At 43.3% G+C, this 15,696-nt stretch overlaps 1 long non-coding RNA gene across 2 annotated transcripts; it reads left to right on the plus strand.

The window, feature by feature from the left end:
- Positions 1 to 441: 441 nt before the first annotated feature.
- Positions 442 to 10,489, plus strand: LOC105370191 (uncharacterized). 2 transcript variants are annotated; one of them, XR_941938.3, is made up of 3 exons: positions 442 to 555; positions 7,613 to 7,701; positions 10,337 to 10,489. It is a non-coding gene; the product is annotated as an uncharacterized LOC105370191 (long non-coding RNA). The 2 variants fall into 2 exon arrangements; XR_007063782.1 differs by lacking the exon at positions 10,337 to 10,489 and adding an exon at positions 9,492 to 9,638.
- Positions 10,490 to 15,696: the final 5,207 nt, after the last annotated feature.

The following is a 15,696-nucleotide window of genomic DNA, read 5'->3' on the forward strand; positions in this document are numbered from 1 at the left end:
ACTTGGAAACCAACCCACAGACTGTGATCCCAAGATGCAGCGGACACACCGTTCACAGCCAGCCACAAAGCAGCGAATGCAGGGCTACATCACACTGCCAGCTCCCTGCTCCTAGTCACAGAGCCGTGCCGAGTCACAATTAACTGCTGATAACCACACACGGCTGAGTGCTGGCTGCAAATTGAAGGCCCCCTTGAAAATGCTGGAAACAGATGTTCTGTAGACTCTGACCTCTCATCATTAATTTTAGAATTTAAATGCCTGTTAATTTCCCCCCTTTTATTGCTGAGCTCCACACAGCAGCATGCTCAATGTCAATGGGAGCATCCGTTGGGGGCATTCCATCTATCAAATCTGAAGGTCACTGGAAATCTGGGAGCTCAGAGGAGGAAAGAAGGACCAGGAGCAAGGAGAGGGGGCCCTTGGGCACACAGGGTGAGGCTGAGAAGAGGCTCCTCTGGCTACAACTGAAGCCTGAGCAGAGGAGATGAGCACCCACCTACCTGCCCTTGTCCAGTGCATAGAGAAAAGAAGGGGTTTGGGGAGGAAACATAGGTGAGTGTGAGAAAAATCAAAAGCAGTGATCTGAGGGAGTCTCACTCACTCCCCACATCTGACACCTTCCTTTTGCCATCTGATGACCTAAAGTGGCTTATCGGGAGCTAGTACCCAGAGAGAGACAACACACAGACTTTGGAGTCAGAAAGACCAGGTTCAAGTTCTGTTCCTCTTACTTTCTAGCTGAGAGACATTGGGCACGCACATACACTGAGCCTCTGGTGGCTTGGGTCAGGAATGGGGATAAGGTCGCTCATTCAGCTTTATGAGAAGGTCACAGTATGATGATAGATATAGTGCCTATATCTATCTATCGATAGATATATCTATCTATCGATAGATAGATATAGCTTGGTACACAGCAGGGACTTAATAAATACCCATTCATTCTCCCTTTATCGCCTATTCTCAATGCCATAGTTGATGAGGATGATAGAATTTACAGTGGCTGGTGATGATGACTTTAGAGGTCTCCCAGAACCATCCTCCAGGAAATGGAAGATGTTTTGAGCCCAAAACTTTTAGGGGAAGAATCAAAGCAACCTCCTTATTAGACCAGAGACTGACTCCAGCACTCCATCACGGGGCCTAGCCTGCTGGCCGGCTCAGGAACATTTCATGCCGGCCCCTGCTAGGTGGCCCTGAGGGAGATGGGTTCTTGATCATTCAGTTCCCCCAAGCTCCCCAGCCACAAGATCACCCCTTCCCACAATGAAATCACTTCTCATTTCAGGCCTCCAGGGCTTTCTTTTCTTTAAATGGTTTGCTAAAGTGCCCTAGATTGGGGTTGAGATTTCAGCCAATTTTTGTGAAGAAACATGATTACACTTTGTCAGTACTTCGGAGAAAACAGTTTCCTTCACAAAAGGAGGACCTCTAGGGCTTTTAACTTTACGTCTATAAGAAAGAAAAAAAATCCCTCAGGAGCCTATGGAGTCTCAGGCAAAGCTCCAGAAAGCACCTCAACTTTACATTGTCATTTTTACCCTTGGAATTTGACCCGCTTCCTGGGGAGGACAATCACTGCATCAGAGAGACCACCGAATCCCAGTCAGCCCTGAGAGCTGCTCCCCAGCCCGGGTGGGGAGAGCCTGCCAGTGCTGTTGGCAAGATGACCTGACTGCATGGACCTTGGGTCACCTTTCCTGCCTTCTCCATTATGGATGAGGTCATTTTCCTCTATGGAACTGAAGCCAGAGTAATAGCAGTTGTTAGAACCCATGCCCTCTACCCTTGCCCTGCAACTGTGGTCCTGCTTTTAGTGTTTGCACCCCTGTTTACAGCCATCTTTGGCCCAGACAGGGACATGAGGCCAGCATCTCCAGGATTTGTAGGAAATGATCTGCCTTCCTCCACTGCCAAATACTAAGTCTCCTCAGATTCCTTACTGGCCAGGAGGCTGATAGGCAGACGGATAGGAACCCAGTCTTTTTCCTCTCTGTTTGCTGAGATCTGTTTTAAGATTGACAACCCATTCAAAAATATCTCATCACTGCTCTGTGTCCTGATTAGTACTCTACACACACACGTGCACGTTCACTCCCACACACATGCACACACACACATGCATACATTCATTCCCACACGCATGCACACACATGCACACGTGCATTCCCACACACATGCACACACATGCATACATGCATTCCCACACACATGCACACAGGCACATGCATATGCACATGTATACATACATATTAAAATCAGTAAAAGTTGAATAAGAGCTATAGTTTAATCATTAGTATTGTACCAATGTCAATTTCTTGGTTTTGAAAGAGCTGGGTGAAGGGTACATGGAAACTCTTTATACTTTTCTGCAACTTCTCAAATTATTTCAAAATAAAAAGTCTCTCCCAGAAGTTCCCTCAGGTCCTTACAAAAATTAAGCAACTTAGCCTAGGGTCCTGTTCCGACAGCCAGAGTTCCCTCTATGGAGCTGCATGTCCCTTTTGAGCATTTACTAAGAGGCATTTTCCTCCCTGGGCACCAGACAATGTCCATACTCATTGTGACTTTGGTTCTTGGCTTTGTGCCCTGTTTCTTTACCTATTTGGGGAAGTGTTCATTACAAAATTGTTTTTATAACTGCTTCTCTTTTTTTGCCATTGACAAGGAAGCATTGGGGGAAACAGGATCCCCAACGTACTTTGCCATAGCTACTTGGTTTCCCTGAGTTTCACACTTTCACACACCAGCTTGTGACAGCAAATTGTCCCATCCTCACACCATCCTGAGATCACTCAGCTTCTTCCCTTTGCTCTCCCTATGGCTGTAGCCGCTGCCTGGCACGGGACAAGCACTCGAGAAATGCTTTTTGAAAGATGAGTCCTAAATAGAATCAGGTAGGACATCAGAGATGCTGGGGAAATAACTTAAATCAGACAGTTTCTTCCTCCTTTTGGCCATTCAATGACAATTGTGCCCTGCATGTGATTTGTGAACTTCAGGGGAGAGGTTTGTTTTCTTTGGGGAAGGCTAAGTTCAGTATGAGCCCAGGGATTCTGAAGGCAGCCCTCCTGCCACTGGGAAGAGGCTATTCACAGAACGAAGACAGAGAAAAGCAAGATAACAGATAGCCAGGGCTGGGGTGGGAAGATGGAGAGAGAGAAAGAGAGACAGAGAGACAGAGAGAGAGAGAGAGAGAGAGAGAACTCTGAGGGCACTGCCCGAGCTGCTGGCTTCAGCTGTGCCTGAACTTTCCAAGTCATATAAGCAGAGCTGCCACCTCTTCCTCTAGCAGATGCACCCAGAGCAGCTCCTGCTTCCACGAAAGCCTGTGCAGCGCTGCCACTCTACAAGATCCCTCTTCGAACTGATCAGAATGTGTATCGTCACCCAGTGCACCGGCTCTCCACGCTGCATTGCTCATCCTCACACATTGAAACTAAACACGTCGAAAATGTCACAGATGCTCCAACAGCAAAGGAAATTGGCATCTAAAAAATCGAGCGGGGGAAGTGATCATAGAAAGCTTCGTGGATACACCACATTTTAAAGACTAAGCATCGTCGGGGAAGCGGTGCCAGGCCAAGGGTGGTGTGTGGGGAAGTATACAGAGCCGTGAGAGAGGCAGAGCGAGGCATGTGGGGGATGAGCAGAGGAAGAGCTGGAGGAAAGGCATATTGAGGAGTGTAAGGAGGACGAGGGCCAGGACTTGAGGGCTGATGATGTGAAGTCCTGAGCGCTGCGGGGAGCTGCTGGGGAGTGTTAGACAGGCCACAGTGTCATCAGAATCGAGTGTGGAAAGTGTTATTCTGGCAGTCCGGTGGGGATTGTTTGGGAAAACTGTAGGCAAGGACATCACCTTGCAATTCTGGCAGCCGGGTGGGGGTTGTTTGGGAAAATTGCAGGCAAGGACCTCACCATGCAATTCTGGGCAAACAGAGATGATGCCTGTGTCAGATGCTGGTAGGGAGAGCTTTCCTAGAGCTCCTCTTTTCTCAATAAAATGGGAGACAAGCTCATCAGCTGAGCGTAAGATGTAGGAGGTGTGGAAGGTTTGAGGAGAGGGGAGGTGGGGTAACTGAACCGTGCCAGACTCCTGAGAAGCCACGAAGGGATGGAATTCAAGTCACAGGTGGGAGGCTGCATGTAGATGGCTGAAGGGCCTTCTGTCCTGGCACGGAAATGGTGCAGGAGGGCAGGTGCAAAGAGAGGCTGGTGTGTATAGATGGAGTGGGGGACACTCCGTCTCTGGGGTCTTTGGTCCTGTCCTCACTAGTGTCTTGAGGGTTGCACAATGTCAAGGCACCCCCTTGGCAGGGCAATGCTGATGGCCACAGAGCATGGCCTGCACTGCTTGGTTTTATGCCGGAAGGTTTTCCCAACTTCCAGTATCAGGAAGAGGAGGCTGGAGATTCTGTTCCTGGGCTCCCAGGAGGCCCTGGGTTTTCCTCTGCAGGTTCCTCATCAACCCCAACCCAGAGGTCTGCGTACCAAGGAAGGCCATCTCTACAATAGAAAACAAAACAACAACAATTAAAACCTCGAAGCTTCTATTGCACTCTTTAGGCTTATGAAGGGAAGCAACTAAGGTGATTCTTCACAGGTAACCTGCTACCTCCACCTCCAGATATAAAGAGGTTGGTTTAACTGCATATTCCACACCAGCAGGCTCTCAGCTGAGACTTTGGCAGAAGCTTGGGCTGAAGGGCCTCTCCTGACACTGACCTAGAGGTGGAGTCTGGATTCCAGCATCCCTTGCACAGAGTTTCTATTATGTTTTAATATAGTAAATGACATTTTTTTTTTGCTTCTTTTGTACCCTAAAATGGAATTCAATGGCCTTGCTGATTTGAATCCATCAGCTTGCCTTGCTTTCCAAAGCCCCATTCTCTCCCGTCTCTCCCCATCCCACAGGTAGTGTGTCTCCTCCTTCCCAGCACTCTTCACTTTTGGCTCTTTGTTACTTTACCTTCATTTCCTATCCAGTCTGTTCAGCTTCCTCCTCTCTTCCCAGTTCCCCAACTCCCAACCAAGGCTCCCTGCTCACCCCATTCTCTTCTCTCATTTTTTTACTTGAAAAAGACAGAGGTCCAAGCACACAAGATTTTCATGATGTATTTCGTGAAAATACAATAAAAAATGAAAGGCCAGCTCACCTGTGTCTTAGTCAGCTCGTGCTGCTACAGGGAAATACCATAGACTGGGTGGCTTGGGCAAGTGTTTACTTCTCATGGTTCTGGAAGCTGGAAGTCTGAGATCGGGGTGCCAGCATGGTTGGGTTCTGGTAGTAATGTGAGGCCATGTGAGGCCATTATCTCTTCCTGGCCTTCTTTGGTGCATGCACACAGAAAGGCCTCTGTCTCCTCCTCATTTGGTATGGGCATTAATCCCATCACGAGGCTCTGCCCTTGAATGCAACCTAATTACTTCCCAAAGTCCCCATCTCCAAATAGCATCACATTGGAGATTAGAATTTCAGCATCTGAATTTTGAGGAGACACAAACATTCTGCCCATAGCATCCTAATTCTGGAGATGTTGTCTGGAGGCAGTGGGGTTGGGAGAAGGGCCGGTCCTGGAAAGTGAGTCTGCAGCCCAGACCCACCAACCCACAACTGCCACAGTCAGGGGTAGGGTTTTTGTTCTGATGACATTGACAGTATTCAGAAATGCCCAAAGTATCAGTCAGGCCCTGGCATGAGAATTGATAAAGAATTCCATAAAGGATTAGGCAAAAGCTGGAGGTGAGAGAAAATGCCAAAATCACATTTCTCAGCCTTCCTGGAAGTGAAGGAACTGGAGTCTCATTGGGGGGGAAGTATGAGGCTGAAGGGTGTTGTGTCCACAGGTTCATTCCATTCATGAAAAAGAGATCCCTTGCTGGGGCATCTTAATGTCAGAAGCTTCATTTGACAAGCAAAGAAAACACATACAGGACGTCTCTGTAACCTGTAAATGTGCGTATAAAACACAGGGCAATGGCTGTTTGAAGAGGGAGCAGAAAGCCCATTGTGGCTCTTTGGATAACTGAAGAAACAAGTGTGCAAAAGTTTCTTTCACCGAAACCAGGACCATCCCCGCAAATGTGAGGCTCACATATGGGCTGTGGCAAGTATGTGAATTTATTTATGAATGACTGCAGGCATAAGTATATAAAAAAGGCAATTGACACAATCTTTCTTCAACCCATGTGCCAAGTCAGTGTTCTGCTTGTTTGAAAGGTTAGTCTCAGTGAGAACTTTAAAAAGGTTATTTGGAGAAACAAAGAAAAATGGGGTGGTGGGAGGGGCTGCCAACATCCATCGGAGATTAAGCAATTTCTCTCCTTTTCTGGCATTGGCCTCAGAAAAGCCAGCGTTGGTCATCAGACTACTTCGTGCAGAATCTGAAGCTATGTTGAGCTGTTAGTGACTGCTAATCGGATCCTAGGATGTGTTTTTTCTTTTCTATGCCAGGTAAACCATACATGCCAGCAACACACTTTGAGATTATTCTTGCTCTGAATTGTAGAAATGCATGCTTAGGGTACATCCAGCAGAGTGCTTTGATTAGAAATTTAGATAACCGGTAAGAAATCACCGGAGGGAGATAGAATCTGGCAAACAAATTGCTTCTGGATGTTGAGTCACTCCTTATGCTAACACGGTATCTTCATTAGTTAATGGGTCTGTTCAAAGAACTGATAAAGCTGGTTAAATATTGATGATTTGATCAGCCTTATTTAAAGAACTCAAGGGACTGGGCTAATTGAAATGTCTTTTCTGAATGTGGAGGACAGCCATGCCAACAAAAAAAAAGTGTAGTAAAAACAAGGACCATAAAAAAACGGGAGGTTTGCCATTTTTCTTCAAATTTAAACTAGATGCTTTTTGAAACTGCTTCTAGTCACAAAATCATTTTATAAAGTTATTGAAATGTGAGTCACTAATGCTGATTTTTATTTTTCTGTGGCTCCTAAAACTTCAGACTTAATTGTTTTCTCTCTACAGAAAAATAAATACTATTGCAAAACAATCTGTTGTTGTAGCTGGATTCATTAGAAAACAGGAGTTCTTTAGAAACATTACCTATCCCAAGCCTTGCAATGATCTTGTTTGATATTTGTATCTTTTCACAGCTGAGGCATGAAAGGGTTAGTTTGCCCCGCACATAGCTCTAATCCAAAAAAACAAGGATGTAACCCCAGTCTCTCAAGCTTGCCCAGGCAGAGTGTTATTTCTAAAATTATACACTGACCAGAGGCTGGCAACCAAGTCCCTTTTAAAGGAAATAACATTAAGACTAATATTGGACTTTTGAATGTCAATGTTTTATGCCAGAAGGTTAGGGGTAGCAAATTTAAAACACCCAAGGAAAGAAAATGTGGGCCAAAGACTGTGAATTTAGACAAACTGATCTTCAAGTATAAAGGCCACAGACAAACTGTTATGAACATATTAGAATTTAGGGAATATTGTACCCCCGATCCTTTCCTAAGGAATTGACTTGAGAACATGCTTGGACCAATCAAAATGACTGGTGAGACATACTTGCCTATAAAGCTAATATTAAATGGGAGAATATGGGAGACGGTATAGTAATAATTGCACACTCTGATAATGTCTCTGCAGCCCAACCATTAAACTGTGGAGAAGGAAGGTGGAGAGTGCCTGTATATGGAAAGAAGAAAAGCTAACTTCATGGCTTTCTTGTATTAACTGTGAGTAAAATAATATTATAGTACTTCAAATTAGATGCTAGAGAACAGGGAAGAGAGGGGAAAGAAAAGATGACTTGCTATGATCAGATTACTCAAAGGAGGGAACTGATAAGATCCAAAAAGTGGGACTGAGTGTTACATAAAAGCAGTCATATAGGTTGGGTGCAGTGGCTCACGCCTGTAATCCTAGCACTTTGGGAAGCCGAGGCGGGCAGATCACCTGAGGTCAGGAGTTCGAGCCCAGCCTGGCCAACATGATGAAACCCCATTTCTACTAAAACTACAAAAATTAGCTGGGTGTGGTGATGGGCACCTGTAATTTCAGCTACCCCAGAGGCTAAGGCAGGGAGGGTTGCTTGAACCTGAGAGGCAGAGGTTGCAGTGAGCCAGGATGGTGCCAGTGCACCAGCCTGGGCAACAGAGCAAGCGAGACTCTATCTCAAAAAAAAAAAAAAAAAAAAGCAGTCACATAAAGGTCAATTTTGGACTAAAACACAAACCCTCCTGTTGTCCCTGCCTGAATCTCATGTTAAAATGTAATCCCTGATGTTGGAGGTGGGGCCTGGTGGGAGGTGGTTGGATGATAGGGAGCAGATTTCTCATGAATGGTTTAGCTCCATCCTCTTGGTGCTGTCCTCATGATGGTGAATGAGTTCTTGTGAGATCTGGTCGTTTAGACGTGTGTGGCACCTCCCCCTCCCCTTTCTCTTTCTTGCCCTTGTTTCACCACATGATGCACCTGCTTCTCCTTCACCTTCTGCCACGATTGTAAGCTTCCTGAGGCTTCCCCAGAAGCCAAGCGGATGTCAGCAACAGGCTTCCTGTACACCATGCAGAACCATGAGCCAATTCAAACTCCTTTTTTTAAATAGCCCACTCTCAGGTATTTCTTTATAGCAACACAAGATTGGACTAATATATTCCCTAAACATGAAAGCTGTATCAGAAAGAATACATAAAACAGGAGGCCACATAATAAAAAATACGAAGTGAACTACATCAATCATATCAGTGCAACTAAAGAGACTTAGCTATGAAAACAGTTTCAGATTGGCTAACAAAGTCAAAAAGAAAATTATGCTGTATTTAAGAAGATCATCTGAAACAAAGAGATTCACATAGGTTAAGAAATAAAAGGCTGACCACTGAAAAAAAAATCAAATCATTTTTAGTAATCATATTGTTGGCAGCAGTGAGTGTTACTATCACGATTCTGAGGTTGTTATGTGAGTTGCTGCAAGGTAAAGGAAACGAGCAGTTACAGTGATGCTGCTGGGAAGCATAATTTTTTTTTTTTTTTTTTTTTTTTGAGATGGAGTCTCACTCTGTTGCCCGGGCTAGAGTGGAGTGGTGTGATCTCTACTCACTGAAACCTCTGCCTCCCGGGTTCAAGCTATTCTTGTGCCTCGGCCTCCCAAGTAGCTGGGATAACAGACATGCACCACCACACCTGGCTAATTTTTGTATTTTTAGTGGAGTTGGGGTTTCACCATGTTGCTCAGACTGGTCTCGAACTCCTGACCTCAAGTGATTTGCCTGCCTCGGCCTGCCAAAGTTCTGGGATTACAGGCATAAGCCACCGCACCTGGCTGGAAGCAGAATTTTTAATGTGAAAGAAGGAAGGTATTGGTGTAAGATAGAAGATTTGAAGTAAAAACCTTATTGCTCTGAATTGCATTATACCAGTTGTATGGGTATTAGCGAAGACTCTCTTCTGACCAAGCCTCTAGTCAGGCTCTGAGTTCTTTCTGACTAGGCCTGACCTTGGGTTTCCCTCTCTGTCCTTGTAGAAACTGGTTTGAGCAAAAATCCTGCTGAGTCTGTGTACAAAAATCCCCCACCCTTGGTATCTGACCCCCCTCGATACCTAATCATCCTGGCTTGGCTTCAGGAAGAATCCTATGGAGACAGTTGGACCAGAAGCCCCTTTTCCTTTATGTTTGCTCTTCTTTTCCATCCACTGAGCCCCGCTCTGCTCCTTGGTTAAATCCCACCTGTTCGTGTTGGAGTCAGAGTTGAGTCCCATCTGAAGACTGTTGCAGTGGTCCTTCTACCTGTCACCATGGCCCCCTGGAATAAAGTCTTTATCCATCTTTAGCAAGTGTCAGGAACGAATTTTTTCTTTAGCAGAATTCGTAGTGGATTTTATTTGTCCAGAGAAGTTATTATGTATTTTGTAGTTCAGTTCATTGAATGGGCCCACAAATAAGACTGTGGTCTCTAAATACCATTCTCCACTAAAAGAAACAAGGATCTTTGAGGAAATGGCTAATTCCACATCTTAGGCAAGAAATGTACAAAATGATTCTGAAACATCTTCTAATACTAGGAAATAGGGAAGCTGTTTTTTTTAAAGCTGGATTGTGTCAATATGTTTAGGAGTCCATTTGAAAAGGTTCCTATTGGCCAGAGATGATATAACTGGGGCATCTGTATGAATAATAATGGCAGTGGATTGAAGCAAATCAAAAATGTGTAAATCTGCGAGTTTTTAATTACATAGATTTTAAAAACTCAGCTAACTTCAGGGGTGACTGGTAAGTAGAGGGAAAGAATAAGTGTTTATCTCCCCTTTCCTGTATGAACTGCGTCTCACAACAACCAAGCTATCGATGAGGAAAATTTCTCTTTCTAGGAGGCTTCCAGTTTATAAATGGAGAAAGAATGATGGAACCAGATCATTATCATTTTGCAACAGCTGATAAAATAGTGGGCACAGACAACAACAGTTAATGGCTACTGACATCACAAAGAGACTATCAGACATTATAGGCTTCCTTTTGGAATATACAACACCAGCACGAAATATTTCTGCCAAATAATCTAACCTCATTGTATTCAAGTCTCTGCTCCTTACAGAAGCTCTCTCTTTATCTAAACTGGGAGGCAGCTGGGAATTTGGATTGAAGAGGAGGGCTGGGAGGGCGAGAGAGGGGTGAGAGAGGAAACAAGATTAACTTCAGAATTTGAAGGACAATTTCACAAAATAAATCCTTTAAAAATCTGGATTCCTCTTTGTGACATTGGTTTTGCTTTGATGAGAGCATGTTGATGCATGAAGACTTCATGTCATCTTGGTTGAAAGTGCGCTTTAAAGTTCAATAGTCATAGCCGTTTGACCTTGAGCAAATCACGTATTGTTGTGAACCCCTGTTTCTTCATGAGAAAATGAAGGCTGATAATATCTTCCTTACAGGTTTATGAGAAGTTGATGAGATACAGAATGGGAAAGTGCTTGGCACGTAGTCACTCAACCAATAGCTCCTGTGCCCATTCCTCAAGTGGCTGAGGGTGGTATCCCTTGACAATGTTGCCACATTCAATTTGCAGAGCACTTCAGAGTGAAATTGCCATGAGTAAACTTGAATTTTGTTGTGAATATTTGTTCTTCTTTCAGTTAAGCATCTTTGAACATCCTTCCTATGCTTCAGGGGATTCTCCACCTAGTGAATCTGTGCTTCCCCAGATTCAAGGAAGAAACTCACCTTCCCAGCCTCCCTCTGCAGCTGGGGCCATGTGATCAGGCTCCACCAATCAGAGCTGCTACAAAGGACTTTCAATTCAGCAGCCAGAGAAGGAAAAGGCAGCTGCCACAGTCTCCATTCTGCTGAGGGAGGCAGCAGTGCCAGGGCTCCTCGTGGGACCATCTGGGCTCTGTATATAAAGGGTAAGATGCAGAACCCATGCCCAGAGGCATAGTGGTGCCCACCACATGGGAGTGATCCTGCAGTGGGGTTTGGGCCCTACTCCTGGTTGCATAAATTCAAGACTGGTTCTCCAGCCCTCTAATGTCCGTTCATACTTTTTTTTCAACTTAAACCAGGCAGAATTAGTTTTGCTGACCCTTCTTTATTTCTTTATATATGGCCCCTCTTTATTAGCCAGGATAGGTGTACTGCCGTAACAACCCCACATCTCAGTGATTTAATTTAACACGCCAGTCAGGTGGCCCTCCTCTGAGCAGTGATTTGAGAGATTCAACCCCTTCCAGCTTGTGAAGCCACTGCTCTGGAAAGTCTTGGGGTTTTCTGCTGGATTCTTGGTTGGGTCTAGACAGTTTATGAACAAAGAGAAAAAGTGTGAAGGATTTCATGGGAGTCAGTAGGTGCTGGACTGGAAAATTGCATCCATCTTTCCACAAGGCAAGTGGGTGAAAGGTGTAGGCTAGCTGTGTGCCTGAGAAGAAGAAATGGCCAGCCCCATCACTGTGGCCTTGGCTAAGTCCATCCAAGCACTACTTTCCTTGTATCAGGAAGTTCTCCCTCATGGTTCACTCCAGTTCATAATAAGGATTAAAATCTGATAATGTGGGCACAAGGGCTTTGTGAAGTGTAAAGTTCTACATTGATAAAAGATATATCACACAAACGTGGATATCACTTGCAGACATGCTACATTTTACAGCAAATGTTGGTCAGAGTCTCTGGATAATCATCACCTGAATTCTATTTTTAAACCCTAAACCATGTCAATTAAAATAAATCCAGGCCTAGGTAAGGGGAGACTTTTTTCAAAAAGAGGAGATTTTTGCTATAAGGGAAGGAACTGTTGCAATAGGAAGAACACTCTGACCATATGACCTGAAGCATCAAAAGTCAAGCAAAGAGGGCTTTTCTTTCACAAGCAAGAGAGGACAGATGTGGGGACTTAGAATGGATGGTGTGATGGGACATAGAATGGATGGTGTGATGGCACAGCTGGTTAGGAAGTATCTTGTCTTGTAATCAGCTGATTCTCAGGAGGGGAAGTCAAGGAAGGGTTGTTCCTTGTTCTTTAAGCTCATGGGTGGGTCAAGATCCAGGAGCTTCTGGGGAGTGGGGAGACTTGATTAAAATTTTATCACATCAAGTCAATGGGTATTTAATCCATATTGGTCAGTGGGGCAAACCGTTCAGCAAATCATTTGTGAGAAAAAGAGCATTCCATGGTTTGATTTTGACCCCCCAAAGTTCATGTGTTGGAAACTTAATCTTCAATGCAACAGTGTTGAGAGGTGGGACCTGTAAGAAGTGATTAGATCATAACGGCTTAGCCCTCGTAAACGGATTAATGCTGTTATTGAGAGAATAGGTCATTGAAGAAGTGAATTCTTGAAGAAAAAAAAGGATGACTTTAGTCCTTTTCCTCTTTTGCTCACTCTTATGCTCTTTTGCCCTTCCACTTTCTGCCATGGGATGACACAGCATGAAGATCCTTGCTAGATGTTGGCACCATGCTCCTGGACTTCCCGGCTTCCAGAACTTGGAGTCAAATACATTTCTGTTCATTATAAATTACCCAGTCTGTATTAACTTTTTTATAGCAACATAAAGTGGACTAAGACAAAATGAGAATTTGGAGGATCCAGGTCTGGCCTTATCACAGATAAACAAAGTCGTTAAGTCCACATGTCTTATCTAAGTCATATGGGGAAGGGTGGTTCTTTGCAGTAAGCCACTTTTGCAACACAAAAGTGTGAGACTCAGGGAAAGTTCAATATCATTAGCTGAATATTGATAATTATATAATGACTATAAAAATAGGAATGTAAAACAGAATGACATCCCTAGCTAGCCAACTGATACCAGTAGTTAATTTTCATTTACCCAATCTATTTTAATATACCACAGTGCTAAGTATTAGACAGGGCATGCCTCTAGGACAAACAACTGCATCATGTATAGGACAATAATATCTGAGCTACGAAATAAAGTAATGAATTACATTTCAGTGTTATGAAAAAAACCCTGGGCATTTGGGATTTTCATTCAAATAAAATATTATTTCAGCCTACTTATGGATAAGATTAGGTTGAAGTCTTTTTGATTCAATATAGATGTTTTTAGTTCACAATTTTCAATGTTTAAAACTGTGTCCAACTGAATAAGTCTTAAAGCAGCTCATCTACCATGTAAATTTGTATGTACTTAGATTTCAGAGAGTTCATTATTTAAACTTATATCTTAATGTGTTTTATGAACCTGTTGTTAAAGTCATTAAAGTCAGTTACTACTTATACTCAGCAGGTTCATTTCAATTCGTAGTACTTAAGCTGTTCTCACAGTTAAAATACCAAAAAGGCTTACTCAATATTATGCACCAACAGCAGGAAAAAAACATTTTCATAACTGAAGTAACTTTCAATTTATGCATACAAAACACATTCAAGATCAAGAAAATGCCTCCTACTCATCCTGTATATCATAAACAAAGGAATTTTTTCTTCCCACACAGAGAGATAAAGAGGAAAGAAAGAAATTTCCACACAGTTTTTGGAGTGGGTGTCAGGGAGACAGAAGAACGGTATCCATGGCTCGTAGTTATCAGTCACTCTGAAAACAGGCATCTCTGCCTAACCTGGGCTTAAGGAATGGAAGGAAGCCCAGACTCAGTTTCTCAAAGAGCAGGAAAATCCACTCTTCCTTTTCACCAAGTGAACCATAAAGTTTCCTTGCTTGCATGTACCCTCACCCAAGCAACAGAGTCCCTCTATGTTTTTGTAAATATTTGGTCTGTCTGATATTTCACCAGGAAAGGAAGATGGTAAAGAGACCCTGGGGCACATGCTAGGGATCAGCTAGTTACCAGTATCCACGGAATGCCAGTGCAAGCCATAATCAACGGAGGTCTGGGTTATAGTCTCTCCCTGAATGCCACGATAGGCCACTGCAAAGTAAACAGAAGTTCCCTAACTTTAAACACACACATGCAACTCCCCCATCCAACACGATCTTCCTCTGGTTTAATTACATTGCATTTTGGATGAATTTATTTATTTATTTTAGAGACAAAATCTTGTTCTGTCACTTAGGCTGGGGTGCAGCGGCACCATCATAGCTCATTGTAGCCTCAAATTCCTGGGCTCAAGTGATTCTCCCACCTCAGCCTTCCAAATAGCTGGGACTACAGGCATGCATAACCGTGCCCAGCCCGTATATGGAATGTTTTTTAACATAATGGATTTTTGACTGAATGATGATGCTATTGGCGTCTGCTATTTCCCATCCCCTCCAAAGTCTGCTTGTGAAAGATAAGTGCCACAAGTTTAATTTATGCTGCACCCTGAGGAGTCTTGATCGAAAATAAAAGCCGGTATCTATTTAAGAAATGTAATATAAAATTCTTTCCCAAAGGAACTGGCAAAGAGCTTCAGGAGATATGGTAATAATATGTCACATGTAGCCACTAGAAATGTCATGAAGTTATATTGAAATTATCAGCTACCCTTTTAAACTTCAAAATGACTAAAAGAGCTTCTTGGTTGGATGGTTCATTTTAATAGGAAACCTGTCTATATTTGCCCTTTAGGGAATTCACATTCTTTGTGAACAATCAAATTCAGGGATGAACCCATTTAACATCGTCATTAGCGCAAAACACAGATTAATTAAGCAATCATCCCTCTAACAGTGCTTATCAGTGGTTGATAACAGGTTTGCAAGTTAACTTTCTGAAGGTGAACCTGTGATGGTGAATGTCCCAGGCAGCTGGTTAACCATAGTAAAAATTTTGACGAAGCTGATTGCTGCCTTCAATCGGCCTTGATTTGTAACAGTTATAATAAATTCATAAATATTGTGCTGGAGACAGCAGTGCAGAGGAAAGCAATTGGTGTGTGTCCGTGGAGGATATGAAACAGCAAGAAAGAAGCTAACAGTCGAGCTGCAATCACAGCCGCAGATGTAAAAACTGTATTATAGTTTTAATTTAAAAATAATTTTTTTTGCTTTTAATTATTTTGTTCTTTTTTTTCCCCCATCACTACAGATGAAACTTAATTGTCATGGAAAAATGATGCAGAGAACTGAAGTCTAGGCATAAGAAAGTAAAAATTAATGAGGGCTAAGAAATTTTTAATACCTATATTTACATCTTAATATGAAAAAATAGCTATCCTGAAAGAATGAAAGCTTGAAGTGGATTCAGCTAGAACCTGATCAATTTTATTAATTCCATCACAAACTTCCTCTGCCCTTAGTTAAAGGAATAAATCCAAAGGAAAAAATATGCCGTAAA

This window comes from Homo sapiens, chromosome 13, assembly GCF_000001405.40.
Source record: "Homo sapiens chromosome 13, GRCh38.p14 Primary Assembly".
Lineage (NCBI taxonomy): Eukaryota > Metazoa > Chordata > Mammalia > Primates > Hominidae > Homo > Homo sapiens.